This window comes from Homo sapiens, chromosome 1, assembly GCF_000001405.40.
Source record: "Homo sapiens chromosome 1, GRCh38.p14 Primary Assembly".
NCBI lineage: Eukaryota > Metazoa > Chordata > Mammalia > Primates > Hominidae > Homo > Homo sapiens.
Window position 1 is genome coordinate 224,604,927 of NC_000001.11, and position 20,461 is coordinate 224,625,387.

General features: G+C 47.6%; 1 protein-coding gene and 1 long non-coding RNA gene across 22 annotated transcripts in view, besides 2 other annotated features; one reads left to right on the forward strand and one right to left on the reverse strand.

Moving 5' to 3' along the window:
- CNIH3 (cornichon family AMPA receptor auxiliary protein 3) overlaps positions 1–20,461 on the forward strand; it is a 305,915-nt gene that overhangs the window by 170,287 nt on the left and 115,167 nt on the right. For 3 of the 16 annotated variants that reach the window (NR_136287.2, NM_152495.2, NM_001322305.2), the window contains exon 1: positions 11,391–12,329. The exons of the other annotated variants lie outside the window; for them this stretch is intronic. Coding sequence is in view for 2 of the 3 variants with exons in the window: in NM_152495.2 (NP_689708.1) it covers positions 12,249–12,329 (81 nt within the window). In the remaining variant the exon portion in view is untranslated. Of the gene's footprint in view, positions 1–11,390; positions 12,330–20,461 lie in introns of those variants that run through there. 16 annotated transcript variants of the gene reach the window in all.
- Positions 2,131–2,978: an enhancer, noted in NCBI's record as "OCT4-NANOG hESC enhancer chr1:224794759-224795606 (GRCh37/hg19 assembly coordinates)". NCBI's record gives its function as "activates a minimal SCP1, AML or CMV promoter by ChIP-STARR-seq in naive H9 embryonic stem cells {active_cell/tissue: H9 hESC(naive)}" and the evidence as "EXISTENCE:reporter gene assay evidence [ECO:0000049][PMID:30033119]".
- CNIH3-AS2 (CNIH3 antisense RNA 2) lies at positions 3,192–11,301 on the reverse strand. Of its 6 annotated transcripts, none has more exons than NR_183286.1 (4): positions 11,272–11,301; positions 10,686–10,810; positions 10,292–10,501; positions 3,192–6,666 (listed from the first exon to the last, which is right to left on the reverse strand). It is a non-coding gene; the product is annotated as a CNIH3 antisense RNA 2 (long non-coding RNA). The 6 variants fall into 6 exon arrangements; NR_183287.1 differs by having other exon boundaries at positions 10,278–10,501; NR_183294.1 differs by lacking the exon at positions 11,272–11,301 and adding an exon at positions 11,172–11,269.
- Positions 17,936–18,099: a silencer, noted in NCBI's record as "fragment chr1:224810564-224810727 (GRCh37/hg19 assembly coordinates)". NCBI's record gives its function as "represses an EF-1alpha promoter that drives an FKBP-Casp9 reporter gene in an ReSE screen in K562 erythroleukemia cells {active_cell/tissue: K562}" and the evidence as "EXISTENCE:reporter gene assay evidence [ECO:0000049][PMID:32094911]".

Consider the following 20,461-nt stretch of genomic DNA (forward strand, 5'->3'; position numbering starts at 1 on the left):
ACATGGGGTTGGTCCTGCTACCTGAAAGCAGGAAAGTTCCCTGTGTGGTTGGGTCCAGGGCCTTTTATGGATTCAGAATGGGGAATGTGTGTGACTGGCTTGTGAGTAGGCAAAAAAGGCTAAAGCAAAGACACCACTCAAAGGTGGGCATGACAGTGTAGAAAACCAATTAGGAAAGGGTAGGTATATGTAAAATAGGTGAAGGGTGGGGATCAATCAGAGCAAAGTACCGCAAACAGGAAGACAAGTTCTTAATCCTGTCTGAGAATTTAACTTGTAGCTTGGCTTTCAGGCTTTAAATTGTCTTTGGCTTGGAGGTGGGGTTTCACCAGGGACCCACCCCTATCTGCCTTGGCATTTGGCTGCCTCCTGTTGCTATCAAAACTGCCTTTGCAAAAGTATGACAGTAAGAGAAATCTGACATGTCTGACTCCATCTTGCTTCTAGCCCCACAGGCTGGCTGTCTTTGCTCATTCCTGGGGTGGGCCAAGCTAACTTTGGGAGAAATGTAGTTTATACTTTAAATAATAGCCCTTCCCCAAAACTAAACTGTCCTTGTAAAACTAATGAAAGGCCACCAAGTTAGGAGAATGAGAGAGGCCTGAATTCTACATAATTCCCAGCCATTATTCCAGAGGTCATAAGATTTGCAACTTCCCCAATTAATCTTGCAGATAACAGCACTACTACAGAAACTAAGATGGCCTTTTGAGATTTCTTTTCAGGTTTTTGCATTTCTGACAACCAGATGGCCCCACCCAGACCCGTGACTCAACCAGTCCTGCGGCCCCCACCCAGAAGGGGACTCAGTGCATGAGGACTGTTTTCCACATCCCTATGATCGCCTCCCCTACTAATCAGCATTTTCCTTACCGTAGCCCCCTGCCCACCAAACTATCTTTGAAAAACCCCTAATCTCCAAGCCTTCAGGGAGATTGATTTGAGTAATAACTCTGTCTCCTCTGTGGCTGGCCAGCCTTGTGTCAATTAAATGCTTTCTTTACTGCAATGCCAATGAGACAGGATAGTTCCCTTGACCACTCTGTGGGATTCACAAAGGGGGTGACTCGTTTACTCAGCTCACAGCTCTCAACGCCTCTCAGGAAGGGGAACATGTAGGTGAGTGGGTGCTGGGGCCGGGATGAGTGCTTCTGGGTGCCGGCAGGAGTAAACACTGTGTGGTCTCGCGGCAGTGTCTGGGGGTGGGTACTTGCGACCCCCCCAGATCCCCAGAGAGCATGTGTTACAGTGTGCTCTTTTAGTTTTGCCATCCATGAATGGCTTAAGTGTTTAACAGCTCAGTGGAGGGTCAGGGTGACAGCATTTGTACCTGCCCTCTTGGTACCTGAGTTCTTGTCTGGCATCCAGGAAGAATCAGGCTGTGTGAATGAACTGAAGGGTGGCGAATGTGGAGGATTTTACTGAGTGGTGGAAGTGGCTCTTAGTGGGATGGGGAGCTGGAAAGGGGATGGAGTGGGAAGATGGTCTTCCCTTGGAGTTTGGCTGTTCCCAGTCGAACTCCTCTCCAACCATAGTCTCCAATGTCCAGCTGCATCTTCTCCTCTTGACGTTCAGTCACTTCTCTTCTCTCCTTCTCTGCTGCACCTCTGCCAGTGGAGCCTGGAGTTTTTATAAATACAGGATGCAGGGAGGGTGGGCCAGGGTGGTTTTGGAAAAGGCAACATTCAGGCGGGAAAACAAAAGTGCATGTTCTCACTTTGGGCTACAGGTCCTGGCTTGAGGGTGTGGCCCTTGCTGGGGACCGCCATCTTCTACCCAGTATTTCCCTTCCTCCTATCCATATTGCCATGGTCTTGGTGAGTTGATTTTGTTTGTGCAGGGGGCAGGAGGAACCTGTTGGGCAGTTACACTGGGATGTCTCAGGAGGAACCAGTGTGGACCCAGGACCAATGGTGGAGGGAGGTGCTGCCAGGTGCTTTGGTGCTATGAAAGCCTCCCAGAAGCTTTTCCCAACCTTGTGGGGAGCCCCAGTGAAGGCTGATACTGAATTTCCTGCCAGTCAAGCAGGAAGGGGGCTCAAAGTTAGATTTAAGTTATTTTAAAGAAAAAGGTGATTTAGCCAGCACACACAAATCTGCAATTCATAGCTTCCCACACATGTGAATGTGTGCTAAGCAAGTTAAGTAAACAGAGTCCTAAGCCAGACAGTGCCATCTTAGGTATACAAGGGCATGCAAAGCAACAGACATTGGTTGGCAGTGAATTAAGTCCCTGTGCTTCCACACAGCTGGACTGGCCCTTGGACCTTTCCAATGGTAAGTGCTGTAAATAAAAGAAAATGGTGGGAGGCAAGTCTCAATTGTTTTTAGAAGTTGATTTTGCCAAGGTTAAGGACACACCCAGGAAAAAGGGACACATAACCACTGCAACATCTGTGGTCCTTGCCTTTCCCAGAGGGTCTGGGAGCTTCAATATTTAAAGGGAAAAGAGCAGGCAGCAGGGGAAAGAAGAAGAAGAAAAAAGGGAGGGCAGATAAAAGAGGCAAGCGGTTGCATTCCTTTGAGTCTTTTGATTAGCTTTACTGAATCTACATTTTTCATTTGAAAGGAGAGGTGGGGAAAGAGTCAATTATGCATTCCTCTGGTCCTCAGTTGGAATCTGCATTTTTACATAAGATAAAATAATCACAGAGTCTAGGAAGCAATCAGATATGCATTTGTCTCAGGTGAGTGAAGGGATGACTTTTAGGTCTCTTCATGGTCCCTTACCTGTAAAAGTAAGTGGTTAATTTGCATTGTCAGGGTGAAATTCAACAGAACTGCTTTAGGGTAAAAGTCTCGGGGCCTACAAGGAGTTTCCTCCTGAGCAAAAGGTGAGGGAGGTAAGTAGCTATCTATTCAGGAAGAAAATGGGAAGTTGGTGTGTGTGACCCAGTTCCCAGCTTGCCCTTCATCCTTTGTGTGACCCAGTTCCCACTGAGCCCTTCAGCTTAGTGAGTTTCTGGGCCTGAGATTTTATTTTCCTTTTACAGCACTCAAAATTTTTAAAAAGTTATTGTGCAATAAATTACATGCAAGAAAAGGGTTAACATGTCCTGGTGTTAGCAGTTAGGGAACGTATCCAAGTCAGGCGGCACCAAAGTATGGGTCTGCAGCAACCTCAATTCTTGCCTCTTCAGAAGAAATAATTCAACCAAGGGGCATAAGGCAGAAGGAGATACTGAGGCAGGCTTCAGAGCAGGAGAGAACGTTTATTAAAAAGCTTTAGAGCAGAAACAAAAGGAAATAAAGTACATTTGAAAGAGGGCCAAGCTAACGACTTGAGCCAGTCAAGGGCACAGTTTGACCTTTGACTTGGGATTTTATATGAGGGCATATTTCTTGGGAGTTGCATCCCTTCTCCCCTTGTAGCAGGACTAGCCACAGACAAAACCTCTCAGACACCAAGTTAAAGAAGGAAGGGCTTTATTCGGCCGGGAGTGTTGGCAAGACTCATGTCTCAAAAACCGAGCTCCCCAAGTGAGCAATTCCTGTCCCTTTTAAGGGCTTACAACTCTAAGGGGGTCCACGTGAGAGGGTCGTAATCGATTGAGCAAGCAGGGGGTGCGTGACTGGGGGATGCATGCACTGGTAATCAGAACGGAACAGAACAGGACAGGGATTTTTACAATGCTCTTCCATACAATATCTGGAATCTATAGATAACATAACTGGTTAGGTCAGGGGTCGATCTTTAACCAGGCCCAGGGCACGGCGCCGGGCTGTCTGCCTGAGAATTTCATTTCTGCCTTTTAGTTTTTACTTCTTCTTTCTTTGGAGGCAGAAATTGGGCATAAGACAATATGAGGGGTGGTCTCCTCCCTTACCCTGATGCTTCCCTTGGGGTGGGCTGTCCACATGCACAGTGGCCTGCCAGCAGTTGGGAGGGGCCACATGCACAGTGTGTTTACTGAAGTTGTACACGTGCTCACTTGAGGAATTCTTCCTTTACCCAGTGTTCATATACCCTTTAAACTCTGCCATTTTGCCTCTTAGTGCACATGTTTGAGCCCACTCGCCCAACTCCTGAAATCTTATTGGGAAGCTGCTGATTACCAGTTTCAGGTGTTTCTATCTGTTGGGAGACTGCCTCTCTCTGGCACGGGGCCACAACCAATTATTATTTTAGAGAGACAGTTAACAATCACCTGACCATGACCTGATGGTTGCCTGGCATGCCTGTTGTTGGAGGGAGGTCCTCTCCTGCCCTGCTCATCTCTGCCTGCCTAGCTACTGTAACACTGAGGGGTGAGAAAATCTTTAGATCCTGGTTTGAACAAACCAGCTGTAAAACACAATTTTGAAACAACTCAAAGCACAAAAATGCTAACAGTTGCTGAATCCAGATAGGTAGATGAATGTTCACTAAACTCTCTATTCTTCTACATCTTTTAAAATTTTATAATAAACACTCAAAGAACCCCAATTCTCAGGACATTCTAAACATCCAAACCCCACCAAGAGAGAAACAGTATTAGGGGTGGTTGCTTAGCCAGGGCAGAGTATCTTTGTGGTGGGGACTGGAGGGAGTGTTTGGATGGGGGTGTTGAGAGGTGGGAGTGAGAACTTGGTGAGCTGGATTTAAGCTGGAGGATGGGGAAAGCTTTCTGGGATTTCAACAGGGCTTGGCTGGGAAGCAAGAGAGTAACTTGATATATCATACCAGTTATTTATGGCACTGAAAAGTTTACAGAGTTCATTTATGGGGGAAAATACTGTTTAGGAGATACTCTCGAATTTTGTGTTAAATGAAACATATGGTCAGATTTTCCTGTGGGCAGAACAGGATGAGTGATGGGGCAAGAGGAGGCTCACAGCCCACTTAACTGAGCTTCCCATGAATCCAAAGGCATTCCCCTTTACGCTTTGACCATTTCTCTGATGGATGCTTGAGGGTAGGGTGGAGACAGGAATGTAAGGGGAGAGCAGATAGGAGATAAGGTTGGAAAAAGCTTCATGATAAACCAAGTCTTCAGTTGTGTGGGTACACTTTACAGACAGTCCCCGACTTATGACTGTTCATCTTAAGATTTTTCAACTTCACAATAGTGCCAAAGCGATACACATTCAATAGATATTACATTTCAAGTACCCATAAAACCATTCTGTTTTTTCACTTTTGGTACAGCATTTAATAAATGACATGAGATATTCAATACTTTATTATAAAATAGGCTTTGTGTTAGATGATTTTGCCCAACTGTAGGCTAATGTAAGTATTCTAAGCACATTTAAGGTAGGTTAGGCTAAGTTATAATGTGTGATAGGTTCGATGTATTAAATGCATTTTGATGTACACTATTTTCAATTTACAAAGGGTTTATTGGGATGTAACCCTATCATAAGGAGCATCTGTGATATGGTTTGGTTCTGTGTTCCCACCCAGATCTCATCTTGAATTGTAATTTCCATGTGTCGAGGGAGGAATCTGGTAGGAGATGACTGGATCACGGGGGTGGTTTCCCCCTGCTATTCTCCTGATAGTGAGTTCTCACAAGATCTGATGGTTTAAAAGTGTTTGGCAATTCCCTTTCACTCTCTCTCTCTTTCTCTCTCCTGCTGCCATGTAAGATGTGCCTTGCTTCCCCGTTGCCTTCTGCTGTGATTGTAAGTTTCCTGAGGCCTCCCCAGCCATGCTGAACTGTGAGTCAATGAAACCTCTTTCCTTTATAAATTACCCAGTCTCAGGTAGTATCTTTATAGCAGTGTGAAAACAGACTAATGCAAACTGTATTTGCCTTCACCTTCAATAAACAGAGGTATTGCTATATATTAGAAGAAGGCAGAAAACCAAAACTAATTTATGTATAACAACTCAGGAGGAGCAGGAATCGGTTAAGAATAGGTCAGGAAAACATGGAACATTCAGACTTACTTACAAGCAGAGAAAAAGTGTGATGTAATTTGCCTTAGGTTGCCACTTTGTCAGTGAACTTTCCCTGATCATACTAACCCCAAAGCACTGTCTCTCTTATACACCAAGTTGTCAGCACAACTTGGGGCACCTGGAAATTGTATTAGGCTGCTGGTAATAGAAAACCTGACTAGAGCAGTATAGCAAAAACGTGAACTGGCTGTTCAAAGGCTGCTCAAACCCCCCTTCCTTTGCCTTTCTATTTCATAAAGCCTGAAATGAAAAAACACTCACCTTCTCAGATTCACTTGCAACTAGGTAGTGGCGGCCAAATGTTAGAGTTCTGGCCAATGAGATGTAGCAGATCTCTGGAGAGGGCTTCTTTTACTCTTCCCCAAAAGTTATGCCTTCAGACTGGGAGAACAAAATCCACATACTGAGGCTAGCAAGTCAGGAGGGCAAAAGAGCTTGGGACATTAATCGTGTCTTGGAGCTGCTACACTAGCCATAAACTGATTATCTCAATTTCCTGTCATACCAGGATCCCTACTCCCATTAAACCATGGCATCAGTTAAGAATTGTGTTCACCCATAAGTAACAGAATGCCTTACTTCTATGGGTTAAAACAAATGAGAAGTTTTATTGTCTCTTTCAATAAGAAGTCAGGGAATAGGAAGTTAAGGCCTGGTAGAGTGGCTTGATCATGTTGTCAGTGGTCCCTGCTCTCTGTATCTTCTTAGCTTTTCCCTTCTTAATGCGTTGATTTCCTCCTTATGGTCACAAGATGGCTGCTGTACCTCCAGGCATCAGGTCTGCATTTCAGGCAAAAAGAAATATTATCTAAAGAGTTCAAACTGTGTCATATGGCCTCTCCTGGCTGCATGGTGGGTGGGGAAAAAAATCAAGTAATTGGCTTTTCAATGTCTACAGTAGAGAAAACAATGTAGGTTGGTCACTCCACTCAACATCCATTCCCAATCACCATCTCCCTTGCCTTCCTCTACTGTGTCACTAGTACTTTTTGATTTTTTTAAACACTGCCTTGTGAAGGAATTACCGCCTCACCAATTAGACTAGAAACCTTGTGGATCCCTGACAGCGCCCAGAACTATGGACACTAAAATATTTTGAAATAACGAGCAGTAACTGCCTGGGGTTCTTATTTTCTGAAGTTTTGCAGTAACCTTTGCCGAGATATTGTTCTGTAACTAATAAAACAAGGCAAAGCAGGACCAGGTAAATGGCAAGAAAAACAGTGGCTGGATGGAGACTTGAAAGTCACAGTGGTAGGATAATGGATTCCATTTTTAAATTTGAAATTTTATTTTGATGTAGAGACTCTTGGTTCTGGTGATGCTGTGCTAGTGAATTCAGACCGGTTCTCCCACTGAGCACAACTTATAAAGCTGAATGAAATACAGTAACATCTTCTTGAAAGCATCAAAGACCTAATAAGAGAGTACGGAATTACTGGGGTCAAAAGCTGAGAGTGATTCAGAATCTAGAGGGGTTGGTTTAGCTCTTGGGGCCAGTTTTTTTTTCTAGGGGCATTTCTTAATCTTGAGGAGGTGGCTGAGGTATGCTTTTAGGGGCATTTCTTAATCTTGAGGAGGAGACTGAGCTATGCCTTTAGTACTCTGTGGCGCTAGGGGCAAAAGTCAGAGTCCAAGGACCATCAAGGGTTGGGACTTGATAAGCCCTGTGTTTTGACTTGGGATCCAGAAGGACAGCTCCATGTGAGTAAGGCTGAACCAGAAATAAAGCAGCCCTCACACAGACCACAGTTATCTTGGTCATCCTGGAAAATCTCAAATGCTGAATTTGGATTAAGGTAATCCTGGAGCACTAGGTTCCCCTAGATACCTGGCAAAAGAAGTTGAAAATCCTCCCTGGAGAAAGATAACATAATTTTAGGCCTCAAATGACTGTAAGAAAACTTTTCAAAACAAGTTTGGCACAGTAAAAATCTACTAGATGGATAAGAAGCGAGGACTCCGTAAACAAGAACCAGCAGAAACAAAAGATCAGAGAGGTCCCAAAGGGACTCAGAATTTTGGTGTCACGAAATTTTATACAGTACAATTACTACAATGAAAAGAAATGATCTATATAAAATAAAAAGCAAAAAAACAGCTAGAAAGAAATACACCAGGATTGTGTTGGTGGTATCTGAGAGCAGCAAACTGTGGTGTTTATCTTTTTCATTTTTATATTTTCCAAATTATTTTATATTTTTGAGACAGGCTCTCGCTTTGTCACCCGAGGTGGGGTGCAGTGGCATGATCACAGCTCACTGTGCCTTGACCTCTTGGGCTCAAGCAATCCTCTGGCCTCAGCCTCCTGAGTAGCTGAGACTACAGGTGTGCACCACCATGCCTGGCTAATTTTATTTTCATTTTTGTAGAGACCGGGTCTTAATTATGTTGCCCAAGATGATCGCGAACTCCTGACCTCAAGTGATCCACCCGCCTCAGCCTCCCAAAGTGCTGAGATTACAGGCATGAGCCACAGTGCCTGACCTCCAAATTTTCTTTAATGACAATTTATACTGGAAGAAATACTTCTGTAAAAGAGAAAGCAACATAGGGTATAACCCAGAGCAGGGCTAGATTTGTAGGCATTCAACTTCTACAGCTGTCCAGGGTCTTGTGCTCAGAAGGGCCTCATGCTTGGCTTAATGTTCTGCTGTTGCTGTCTTGAAATTATTAATTTTTAATCAAGAAGCTTGATATAGTTTGGGTTATTTGTCCCTGCCCAAATCTCATGTTGAAATGTCATCCCCAGTGTTGGAGGTGGGGCCTGGTGGGAGGTGTCTGGGTCATGGGGGTGGATCCCTCATGGCTTGGTGCTGTCCTCGCAATAAAGAGAGTGTTCTCACAAGATCTGGTTATTTACACGTGTGTGGCACTTCTCCACAACACTCTCTTGCTCTTGCTTTTGCCATGTGACATGCCTGCTCCTGCTTCACCTTCTACCATGAATAAAAGCAACCCTGAGGCCTCCCCCGAAGCCGAGCAAATGCTGGTGCCGTGCTTGTACAGCCTGCAGAACGGTGAGCCAATTGAACCTGTTTTCTTTATAAAGTACCCAGCCTCAGGTTTTTGTTTTTTTTTTTTGAGACAGGGTCTGGCTCTATTGCCTAGGCTGGAGTGCAGTGGTATGAACACAGCTCACTGCACCCTTGACCTCCTGGGCTCAAGCAACACTCTCACCTTAGCCCTGCAAGAAGCTGGGACTACAGGTGCATGCCACCACACCCGGCTAATTTTTGTATTTTTTGTAGAGATGGGGTTTCTGCCATGTTGTCCAGGCTGGTCTCAAATACCTAAGCTCAGGTGATCTGCCCACCTCGACCTCCCCAAGTACTGGGATTACAGGCATAAACCACCATGCCTGGCCAGGTATTTCTTTATAGCAATGCAAGAACGGCCTAATACAAAGTCCCACATTTTCATTTTGCACTTGGCCCTCCAAAGTATGTAGCCGGTCCTGACCCAGAGGCAATAAAATGTAGATCGGTTCATTGCTCTGGTCATCAGCCTCTGGATTTGCTCTAATTTCTCCACTTCTCACTGAAAGGCATCTAGTTTCTAAACTGGAGGGAGATATGAGGCCAGGCACTGTGGTGCACACCTATAATCCCAGCGCTTTGGGAGGCCAAGGCTGGAAGACTGCTTGAGGCCAGGAGTTTGGGACCAGCCTGGCCATATATTGAGACCTATGTCTGCAAACAAAACAAAACAAAAATTATCTGGGTGTGGTGGTGCATGCCTGTAGTCCTAGCAAGGAGTTTGAGGCTACAGTGAGCTATGATAGCACCACTGCACTCCAGCCTGGGCAACACAGCAAGACTGTCTTCAAAAAAATAAAATAAAATAAATTGAAGGGCCTGGAGCGGTGGCTCACGCCTGTAATCCCAGCACTTTGGGAGGCCGAGGTGGGTAGATCACGAGGTCAAGAGATCGAGACCATCTTGGCCAACATGGTGAAACCCCGTCTTTACTAAAAATACAAAGATTAGCTGGGCGTGGTGGTGCGTGCCTGTAGTCCCAGCTACTCGGGAGGCTAAGGCAGGAGAATCGCTTGAACCAGGGAGGTGGAGGTTGCAGAGATCACGCCACTGCACTCCAGCCTGGCGACAAAGTGAGACTCCGTCAAATAAATAAATAAATAAATAAATAAATAAATAAATAAATAAGTAAAAGATGTGGCCAAATAGCTGCAGGAATGTTGGGGCATAGTAGAAAGAGCCCAGGATTAGGAGTCCGCAGACAGGATTCCAGTTCTGTCACTAGAAAGCTGTATCTCTATCTTGCTGGAATTCATCCCTTCCAGCTCTCAAGGCATTGGAATCACATCTGTGAACAGGAAAACTAGCACACCAGAGTCAGAATCAAGCAATAGTTATTTATCTAGTTCCCACCCTGTGCAAGGTACCAGGTGCTCTAAGATTCACTCCAATCCATGAAGTGCGTCTACTCTTTCACCGAGATTTGCCAGTCGTCTTTCAGGGTATTTTTCCTTGCTTTCTGGATTTGATGACTTGTCTGAAACTGAAGTTCTCTCTGGAATGACTGGACCTCTTTCACTGCAGCGTCAGGAATCTCTTGCAAAGCAAGCATGGTGAACTTCCAAGATGCTGGGCCACTGGGGGAAAGGGTGCAATTAATAATCCCTACCACTTATTGAACGTATACCAAGTGCTAGGTTTTTTACTTATGTTCCCTTTTAATCCTTTGAAATGGCTTGACTCTACTCTTATTTATGTTTTTCTGATAAGGAAACTAAGGATTAAAGAGGTTAGGTAACTTGCAGCTAGAAAACGGTCTACCTTCAAAAGCATCCTCTTGACAATTCCACTAGGACCAACACCAATACCACCGAGCCCTCGTTGCTGCCTCTTCAGCGCAGAATAGCCCACCAAGTCCACGTTTCCCTAGTCCCAAGGTCGGATGGCTGGGGAGGGTAGAGGATGCAACGGAAGGACGTTAATGGAGAATTTTGCAGGGTCTGGGAGCAGAGCAGTAAACGCAGCCCTAAGCACTGAGTATGCTACAGTTTGGTAAAATCCATCCAAGCAGCTTTGGGATCCAAGGCTTGCACTGTATCCCCAACCAACACTAGGCAACGCCCCAAGTCCCCACACTTCCCACTCCGATAGGCGAAACTGCAAGAACCGGGAGGGGCGGCTGCGGCGTTTAGGCGCGAGGCACACACCATACCCTTCCGCAGCTTCCCACCTCCTCCAGACGCACGTGTTTAAAGAGTCCCTGCTCCAACCGGTCCCGCCCCACCTCCGCTCGGCCTCCAGCCCTGCTTGTACTGCTGGCTTCAAGTTTCCTCCGAGAGGCGGGCGTGCACAGCTGCAGTGGCGGCGGCAGCGGCCACCAAGCGCCCGGCGGCGCTTCGCCACCCACCTTTCCTCAGCCCCCGGCGCTGCAGTCTCCGCCCGCCGGGGAGGGCGCGCTCAGCGGAACAGGAGTCGAGGGTGGGGCGCCGAGAGGAGGGAATCCCGGGTCGCACCGCTACAGTTCTCGCAGTGGCAAAGGCGGCGGCGGCGGCGGCGGCAGCGGCAGCAGCAGGTGGAGCGAGCTACAGCGTTTGGCCTGAAACCCACTGCTGCAGCCACCCGGGCTGGAGTTGGCCCGTTGGGTGGAGCCAGTGCTCGCCCCGGTCCGACCCCCGGTTTCCGGGACACTTGGGTTGCGGAGGCCGGCTGGCCGGAGTCACGGTTGGGGACGGGCGCGCCTCGGAGCGCACGGCTGCGCTGGAAGCCGCGTCTGGGGCGCAGGACCAACGGGACCTACCTCCTCCCGGCTACCTAAAGACTCCTTCTCTCGGGAAAGAGCGCTGCCCGGCTCTGGGATTTGGGAGGAGCTCGGAGGCCGCTCGGGCACCTCGCTGGACACTATCCGTTTGCGCCCCGGTGGCGCGGGAGGGTCCGGAGCGGAGCGCTCGTCTCTCCTCAGCGGTTTAGTGGAGAAAAGCAGAGAGCTCTTCCTGGGGCGAATGGGACCTCCTCCCTCGGTCCTCCGTGGAGTCGTCGCATCGCTTGTCGTGTTGGTCTCGAGGGGCTCACAGCTTGGCACTAATTTGCAGGTGTTCGCTGCTGATTTGGTTTCTTCTTCGATTTGCGGACGGTTCCCTCCAGCGACTCTCGACACACGTTTTCCTGTCTTCGCCGGAGGGCCGGGTCTGGGGTCGCCGGAGCCTGCGGGAATCCAGCGCTTATTCGCTGACCCTCGAGTCGCTTCGCTAGCTGTGCGCCCTCCTGGGCACTAGCCTGGAGAGGAGCGTGCAGACGCGGCTCCTTGGAGGGAGTGCGGTCCTCTAGGGAGGCATCGGGCTCCTAGGGGCTTCTTGGCGTGTGTGGTGGGATTGGGGTCCGCCGGCCATGGCCTTCACTTTCGCTGCGTTCTGCTACATGCTGTCTCTGGTGCTGTGCGCTGCGCTCATCTTCTTCGCCATCTGGCACGTGAGTAACACGCTTTGGTCTCTCTTCTTTCGCCCCAATTTCGCTAAATTTCCCCGATTTCACCCCACTTTTTCCACCTTGCGGGCGTGGGCGAACCGGAAGGTTGGACCTTCTGCCGCTCCACTGTCCCGGGGCAGGAGGCAGTTCGCTGCATCCCGCCGGGCGCGCCTTCGGTGCCCTGGCTGGAGGCGAGGGGCCGCTGGTGCCCAGGTAGGACACCCTCTGCAGGGCCCGACTGGGCGTCCCGGGTCCCGGGCGCCGGGGAGTGGCGGCTACAACCACAACTAACCCCTTCCTCTCCCGCCCCGTCCTCTCCTGCCGGCGGGAGGCGAAGGAGAAGCGCCGCCGTCGGTCCCGGCAATTAGTCAAGTAGCTATAATAACTAAACATTTAAAATGTCAGCATCTGTGGTGGGTTGCATTTAGATATAATTGGAGACAAAGTGGAAACACGACGGGAGCGCCTTGTAAGAGGTAGGGAGAAGCCGAGCCCACGGAGAGGAAGGAGACCAGGCGATGGGGGTCGAAGTGGAAGGCGGTGGGGGAAAGGCGAGAAGGAGAAGAGCAAGGAGGCGAGGGAGACTGGGAAGGGCAGGCATCATTAAGGCCATGGAGGAAAGTCACGAAGAGAGACCGTGGAGAGCGACGACGGTGTCCTCCATCTGCCCTCTTGGCGTCTGAAGTCCGACTCCTGAAGACCCCCTGCAGGTGGCGAACCTCCGCTAGGCCCCCAGCGTCCCCAGCCCACACAAGCTTCCTGTCACCCTTCCCGGGGCTACGCCAGGTGGAGGGCAGCCGTGGATCCCAGTTCTTTAGGTGTGGGTGGGAATAGAGGAGCGCAAGCTTCTGAATAGGGGAAGAGAAGTACTGAGAGAGCGCGCAGGAGTGCGTACGCCGGTCCTCTCAAAGACTGTGCAACATTTAGCGAGTGCATGCAACTCTCAAGGCTTCCTTCTCTGAGGTTGTTTAAGCCCCCTATCCTCACCCTCAGAGGGCTGGTGGGAAGAATGGCCAAGGCCAAATGTTTAGAAGGAGCACCCCAGTGCATAATTTCCCACCTTTAACAGCCTTGCCCTGCCCAGCGTCTAGGTGACAGAGAAGGACCCTGAGACGAATTCTTGGAGGCATGGTTCTGGTGAGCATCACAGACTCTCATACAGTGGGGATGACCCAAAATGAAGACGTGGAGAAAATTGCAGGGTGGGTGAGATGCCCTTGTTTTCTATAAGTGGTTTGCAGAGTGAGAGTTTGTCTTAAAATAGAACTAAGCAGCTAGAGCAGCTCCTGCTACAGGGCTCTGACAGAGAGGAGAGGGGAAACTCGGGGAGGAAGGTGGCTTCCGATCATGTAACCTTAGGAAAGACCCTTGCTGGCTTCCTTCCACATCTCTAAAGTGAGAAAATTGACCTGGATAGTCGCTAAGCTTTCCCCCATTTCTCAGATTGTGTAAATCCGTGCATCAGTAGACTTAGGAATCTGGGGGTGACAGGGAATCCAAACATAGATATTTGGGGGATGATTAAAACAATTCCGCTATTTAGAAGTAATGGGATTTTAAACCCTCCCTTCTCTGCTCTGCAAGGCTGGGTCTAATCTATAGTAGAAAATTGAGGCTTGAAGTTGTTGACAGTTCTTAAGGGAAAAGGAAACTTACCTGATTTAGAATAGAAAGGAATACAGATTAGATCATGCCCAAGCAGTGCAGCAAACCTCTGCTAATGTGCTTTAAAGGAACTTTCTCAGCTTCTTTGGATATGGGGAGTTACTTGGATTCTAGAAGGCCAACTACTCCCTTTTCTTCTGCAATACTTCATTTGCTGTTTTCTGTTTTTGCCTTGGCCAGAGGGTGTCAGGTACCAGAGAGCTCCCTCAAACTCGAGTCTGGCTTGGAGTTCTCTGAATTGGTCCCTGAAGCAGAGCAAGTAACCAGAAAGAATCATTTTCTCTCATTCAGGGAAAGATGATTAATAATTCAAGAACAGCTTCATTGAGTGGTTTGTGCAGCTGGTTGACATTTGAATGAAAATCAGGTGTTCCCTCATCCAGCACTGGCTCTATCCTCCAGCTTCTCAATGCTCACCCCCTTATCGAGGGGTGGCTGAAATGCAGTCAAATTCCAACTCAGGTTTTATCCAGATTCCTCGTGGAAGTGGCAAGATTCTTGTTTCTAATAATGAAAAGAATTTGTGCGTTTTGATTTCAAATTACGGTAATAATTTCATAGTCTCAGTCCCTCCTTTCCTAGTCTTTTCCTTCTCTATCCCTTTCCCTCTCTCCAAATCAAACAACCCAAACCCCATCACACTGATTTGGTTCCTGAACATTGAACTGGGAAACCAGAGACACCCTGATTTCAGGGCACGGTTTGTATGTCTGGGTGTTAGTTACATGGTAGTAATTATTTCAACCAAAATTGAGGAGACTTGGTTTTATGTTAGACTGTTTGCCTTCTTTCCAGCTTCTTATATTACTTATGTACTTCTTGATCGGACAAGGCATATTGATTGTGTGATATATATCAGTACCCCAAAAAATGAATTGGGCGCTTAACAACATATAGCGGTTAAAATGCCTGCCATGCTGCCATGCCTAGGCTGTAAGATATGAAGATGGCGTGCTTTTCTTATTGAATTGTACGTACCTACTTAGGGGTAATGATGGTAGCTACTATGTATTGGGTGTCTGCTGTAGGACAAGTTTTAAGTACTTTACAGAGGATCTCTCAGTCCAATCGTTTTCCTCCCCTTTTTTCCCACTGGATGTCTGGGAGCAAGGATGGATGTGGCCAGCCTTTCTTTCAAGTCTTGTTTTTTACTTTGAAAATTTATCTGCATTTGTTTTCAGTTGAAAATATTTCAAGTTACCCATTTATTTTATATCAGCTACTATCTCTGAGTACATTTATCACATTTGGAAGAAGCAGAAGAAAACTAGGTTTTTTCTGTGGCTTTGCATACCCTCAGGCACCTGGCCTCTTACTGCCCAGGCAGCCCTTTAGTCCTCATAACGGACATTTCGCAGATGAGGAAACTGGATCAGAGAGATTACAAGGTTGCCTAAGGTTGCACAGCTGATATGTATTGGAGCTGGTATGCATGGACTTGAGCTAGGTCTGTGAGACTCTTAAGCCTAAGCCCTTTCTCTAACTGTAGTCACTATTTTTGGATTCATAACTTAGATAATAATTTATATCCAAAGGATTACCTTTCTCTGTATAAATGAAATTTTAGAGTTGGAATTTCTGATTGGGGTTACAATAGCAACAGCAACCAGACTCAAGACATGCTATATATCCTTTTTTAAAAGAGGAAAATTCTATTTATTTAAATTAGACTTCTGCTTATAAAATGATACAGGTTCCTTGTCCAAAATTTTGAAAATACAATGATTTGTAATTAAATAAAATCATCAGTAATCTTATCCAGAAAAGATTATCTCTTGTGTATTTTAAAAAATTGCATATGGCCGGGCTCAGTGGCTCATGCTCGTAATCCCAGCACTTTGGGAGGTTGAGGCAGGAGGATCACTTGAGCCTAGGAGTTTGAGACCAGCCTAGGCAACATAGTGAGACCCCATTTCTAAGAAAAAAAAATTGCATGTGGACGTTTAGAAGGAAAAAAAAGCGTTCTAAAGGGTTTTTGATGTGAAGTGATATGTATTTCCAGCCAGTATAAAATGAATGGTGTTTACTCACAAGAGCCTTCTCTGCTCCGGCTCGGTTAAGCCTGTTTGCAGTGTGTCTCATTTATATAAACACAGATGAAGCTATTCTTTGAAAAGATCAAAGATTCAGTACTGAATTTCAGGTCTTTAGCTTTTGAAGTTTTTATATTTGGAGTCACTATGAGTTTTGACAATTTACAAATAAAATTAATTCCCAATAAAATTCCCTAGAAAGATCTGATGCACCATCTCACCTTGAAATTTCTTTGGATTCACAGCAGCATTTGCTGTTTGAGGGTTTAAATGGCCCTGGACAGGGATGACATACATATGTGCCGAGAGGCAGTTTTGTTAGAGAAGATGTCTTCATGGTGGAGTGTTTTGCCAGTTCCACCTTGTCACAGGCTCAGCCTCTGGAAGTCTAGTAAACATCTCAGTTTCTCACAGTACCCACCTGGAAACAAAAAATGGGTTTATGTGAAATGGTAGGATGCTTGGGGTTGACAATAAATAGCCTGTTTTTTTATGACCCTGCCTTGGCCTACTCAGATGAGGGTACTGCACTCACTGCCAGGTCTTACTTGGTCTCCACTTTCTGTTCTACTTGTGATGCCCCTGTCCGTTCTGGCATCTCACTTTCAGGTGGGATGTCCGCAGCTCCAGCCTGCTCCATCCCCCTTTTATCTCCTCCCTCCGTCACTGTCCATTGCCCCACAGCTGAAGTGGAAGGAAGCTCCATGAGAGCAGGGACGTTTTCTACTTTACCATTGTTTCTCCAGAGCCCAGAACAGTGCCTGACACATAGAGAGTGTTTGGTATAAATACTCATAGGACAAATTCTTGTTTCCTTCTGGCTTGACGCATTTCCAGTTGACATAGTGATATGTTTTGGCTATGTTCACACCCAAATCTCATCTTGAATTGTAGCTCTCATAATCTCCACGTGTTGTGGGAAGGATCTGGTGGGAGGTAATTGAATCGTGGGGGATGGGGTTTTTTTTGTGCTGTTCTCATGATAGTGAATAAGTCTCATGAGATCTGATGGTTTTATAAAGGGCAGTTCTCCTGCACATGCTCTCTTGCTTGCCGCCATGTAAGACATGCCTTTGCTCCTCCTTCACCTTCTGCCATGATCATGAGGCCTCCTCACAGCCATGCTGAACTGTGAGTCCATTAAACTTCTTTTCTTTGTAAATTACCCAGTCTCAGGTATGTCTTTATTAGCAGTGGGAGAACAGACTAACAGTAACTCGTTTCTGATTTGGCTTCTGGCTGCTTCTTAAGGACTACTTTCTGGGTAGTTTGGACAATGTGCATTTTCCCCCATGCCTTGGCACTTTGAAACTTTGGAAGCTAATTATTGCAAAGAAGACTGGCCATTGCCATGGGGTATAGGGCCCTTCTTGATGATAGTGGAGCTGGTTCTCTTTCAGAGGAGCAGATTGGGGAGAAGCACTGGCTATCCCTGGAGAGAACACCTTCTGGAAAATGTAATGTCTGGATTGATGCATGGCACCTTATCATTGTTTGCGTTGCTTGCCGCTTTATCCTTGTTTGCATTGCAATAACTCTCCCTGAAAAAGAAAGCTTACGTCATCATTGTATTTCCACTGCAGTCATGTTAGAGAGGAGAGGAGAGAAGTGTGCAGAATTCACAGGTCACCTAAAACAATCAGGAACCAGCCCCAATCCCAACTGTTTGGTGAGGTTTCAAGGCCTCACTGGGGTTGGATGTTAGAGACACTAAAGTAACTTGTCTTTGACTTTTGAGTTACTGAACAAACATTAAAGGCAGTGAATGTTGTGAGGCTCTTGCCAGGCAATTGGAGCTCTTGCCTATACTGGCCCTGAAGCTGTGCCCAGGCCCTTGCCTCACTCTAGCCCCTCTGGCTACCTGGTGCTTTTCCCTTCTGTATATCCACATGGCTCTGCGCTTTGCCCTCTGGACTTGTTTTCTGCTGTGGACCTCTCTCCCAGTAAGTCTGCAAACAGGTTCCTCTGGGGCCTTATTCTTCAGTAGCTGTGCTATCTGGATGGTGCCTTTGCCACCATCATCTGACTCACTCCTATGGGCCCCTCCACTGGGCACCACTGAGGACTTGGCTCCTGGTCACTGTCCTGTCCTTGCTGTCCTGCAAGGTGCTGGGTGCTGTTGGTTATCTGACCTCCCCTCTAGTGACCACTTCCATCTTTGTGGTCCCTGAGCCCCCTGACCTGCCCTGGACCTGCCTCTGCAGTGAGCTCCCTGTTCTCTACTCCCGCACTCTGCTGCCCCAGGGGCTCTTGGCCCTCCTTTGACTGTGGCTTTTCCTTCTTCTCTCAATGCATCGCTCCTCTAGGATTTACTTCCTCCTCTGTGTCATTACCCCTCATCATCCACCACTTAGCTCCTGCTGCTGCTCTCCACTGCTGCGTCCTCTGTTTCCTGTCGCTCCTGTAGTGGATGCCTCAGTCTCCCAGGAGTCTACTCTCTTCCCTCTCTTCTCTCACCCCAGGTACCCGGGAGCTGCTGGGTCCCAGGCGGATGCACGGTTTGACCTTAGCTGGCCTCAGTATTGCCTTCTAACTCATCAGCTGGATGTGAGTCAGTTCCTTCAGCTTCCACAACACTGTTGTAGATTGTTGTCATTTTCTCAGAGCCCCCTGAAGCTCCCAAAACTGTCCCCCACCCCTGACTGCCTCTGAGCAGATGACTTTAATTCCAGCTCCTGGAGAAGATAGAGATGATCAGACAGGGATGCCTCAGGATCCTGCCCCTCCCCAGAATTCTGATTAATGATTTATTTTTCCTTCTCAGACTCAGAAGCAGCAGAGTCTGTCCCTCATCTGAGGCCACTTCCTCCCCTCCTAGTTATCTGTGGACATTGCTCCATCACTTTTCCCCACCTGTCTGTGTCTTCAGCCACTGCCCTTCGCAGGTCCACCCGTCCCCACCCCCTGGCAGATTCAAAGGCTGTGGTGCCTCTGAGCTGCAGACAAGCCTTTGGTCCCCAGGCCCTCTAAATGCTGCTCAACCTCTCTTCCCTTGCAGAGTGGTTTTGTCTCACCACATCCTGCCTGCCGTCACCTCTTTGGATTCTGACATCAGACACTCAGAAACCACGGAGACTAATAAAACAAAGCCCTCTGCATCCACCACTCAGAATTGGCAAGTGTCAGCATTTTGCTATTTGTGTATCTTATCTCTTTTCCAAAGACACTTGTTTCCTTTCTGGCCACCTGACTTGTGCCCCCGCCCCTTCTCAGCTCAGCACTTGATGAGGACATCAGTGGTCTGTGGCAATCTCTGGGCACCATTTAGTGCTTATCTTGGCCTCTCCGTGGCTTTGAGACTGCTGTCCGTGTCTTCTTTGCAACTGCTTTCAAATGTTGTTTTTCTGGGGCCCTGTTTCTCCTCCATCTCCCCTGTGGGTTCTTCTTTCTGTACCTTCCTCTCCATGTTGGTAGTTTCCTGGCCTCCCAGACCTGTCCCCCGACACTGACCTGTGTGTCCATGGGGCCACCTGCCCCATGCCCCACAGTTGGATCCCAGCCGAGCTTGTCTTCATGCCCTCCTCACTCCTCACAGCCCCAGTGGGTTTAGTCTTCACCCAGAGACCCTCTCTACCCCATCTGCTCCTTCTGTAGTCACCAGCCATGTCTGTCCCCTCCCTTCCATGCTTCCCATCCCTGCCTTGGTTCAGGCCCCCATTTGCTGTTTCTCAGAGCATCGTGGTCCCTTCCAAGCTGGCCTCCTTGGTTATCATCTCCCCTGGACTAAACCACCCCACTCATGGCTACCAAGAGTGATCTAATACCTGAAAGGATCCTTCCATGTTATTCCCAGACTAAAGCTTTTTCTGGTTTCTCTCGCTTTCAAAGTTTAGAGGGCTGGGAGGACCAGGTCCCGGTTAACTGTTTAGCCACATTTTGCATTTTCTGTGTTCCAGATATCCTCACCTTCTTGCAATTCCCAAATGGGCTGTTCTGTCTCCCTGGAATGCTGTTCCCCACTTCATTCTTCACCCGACTGGCTCTGCTGCAGCCTTTGTCCTCTAGGAAGCCGCATTCTCCCTGGCGATCTGAGTCCACTTGTCCTCTGAACCTGTCCCCAGGTCTGAGTCCCACTGTTGTATTTGTCTCTGTGCTTGGACTATAAGCTTCTGGAGGGCAGAAACTGTTGCCCTCACTTGTGGCCTCAGTGTCCAGCATGGGGCAGTATGGTGGGAACTCAGTGATTGCCAATAAATAAGGATCTGGATAATTTATTACAGCCAGCTTAAGCTTGATAGACTCCTCCTCAATGAATACTTTCCCAGACTTACCTGGTTATGACAATCATCTGGATGCTTACTAAAAATGCACATTTTTGTCCGGGCGTGGTGGCTCACGCCTGTAATCCCAGCACTTTGGGAGGCCTAGGCGGGCGGATCATGAGGTCAGGAGATGGAGATCATCCTGGCTAACATGGTGAAACCCCATCTCTCCTAA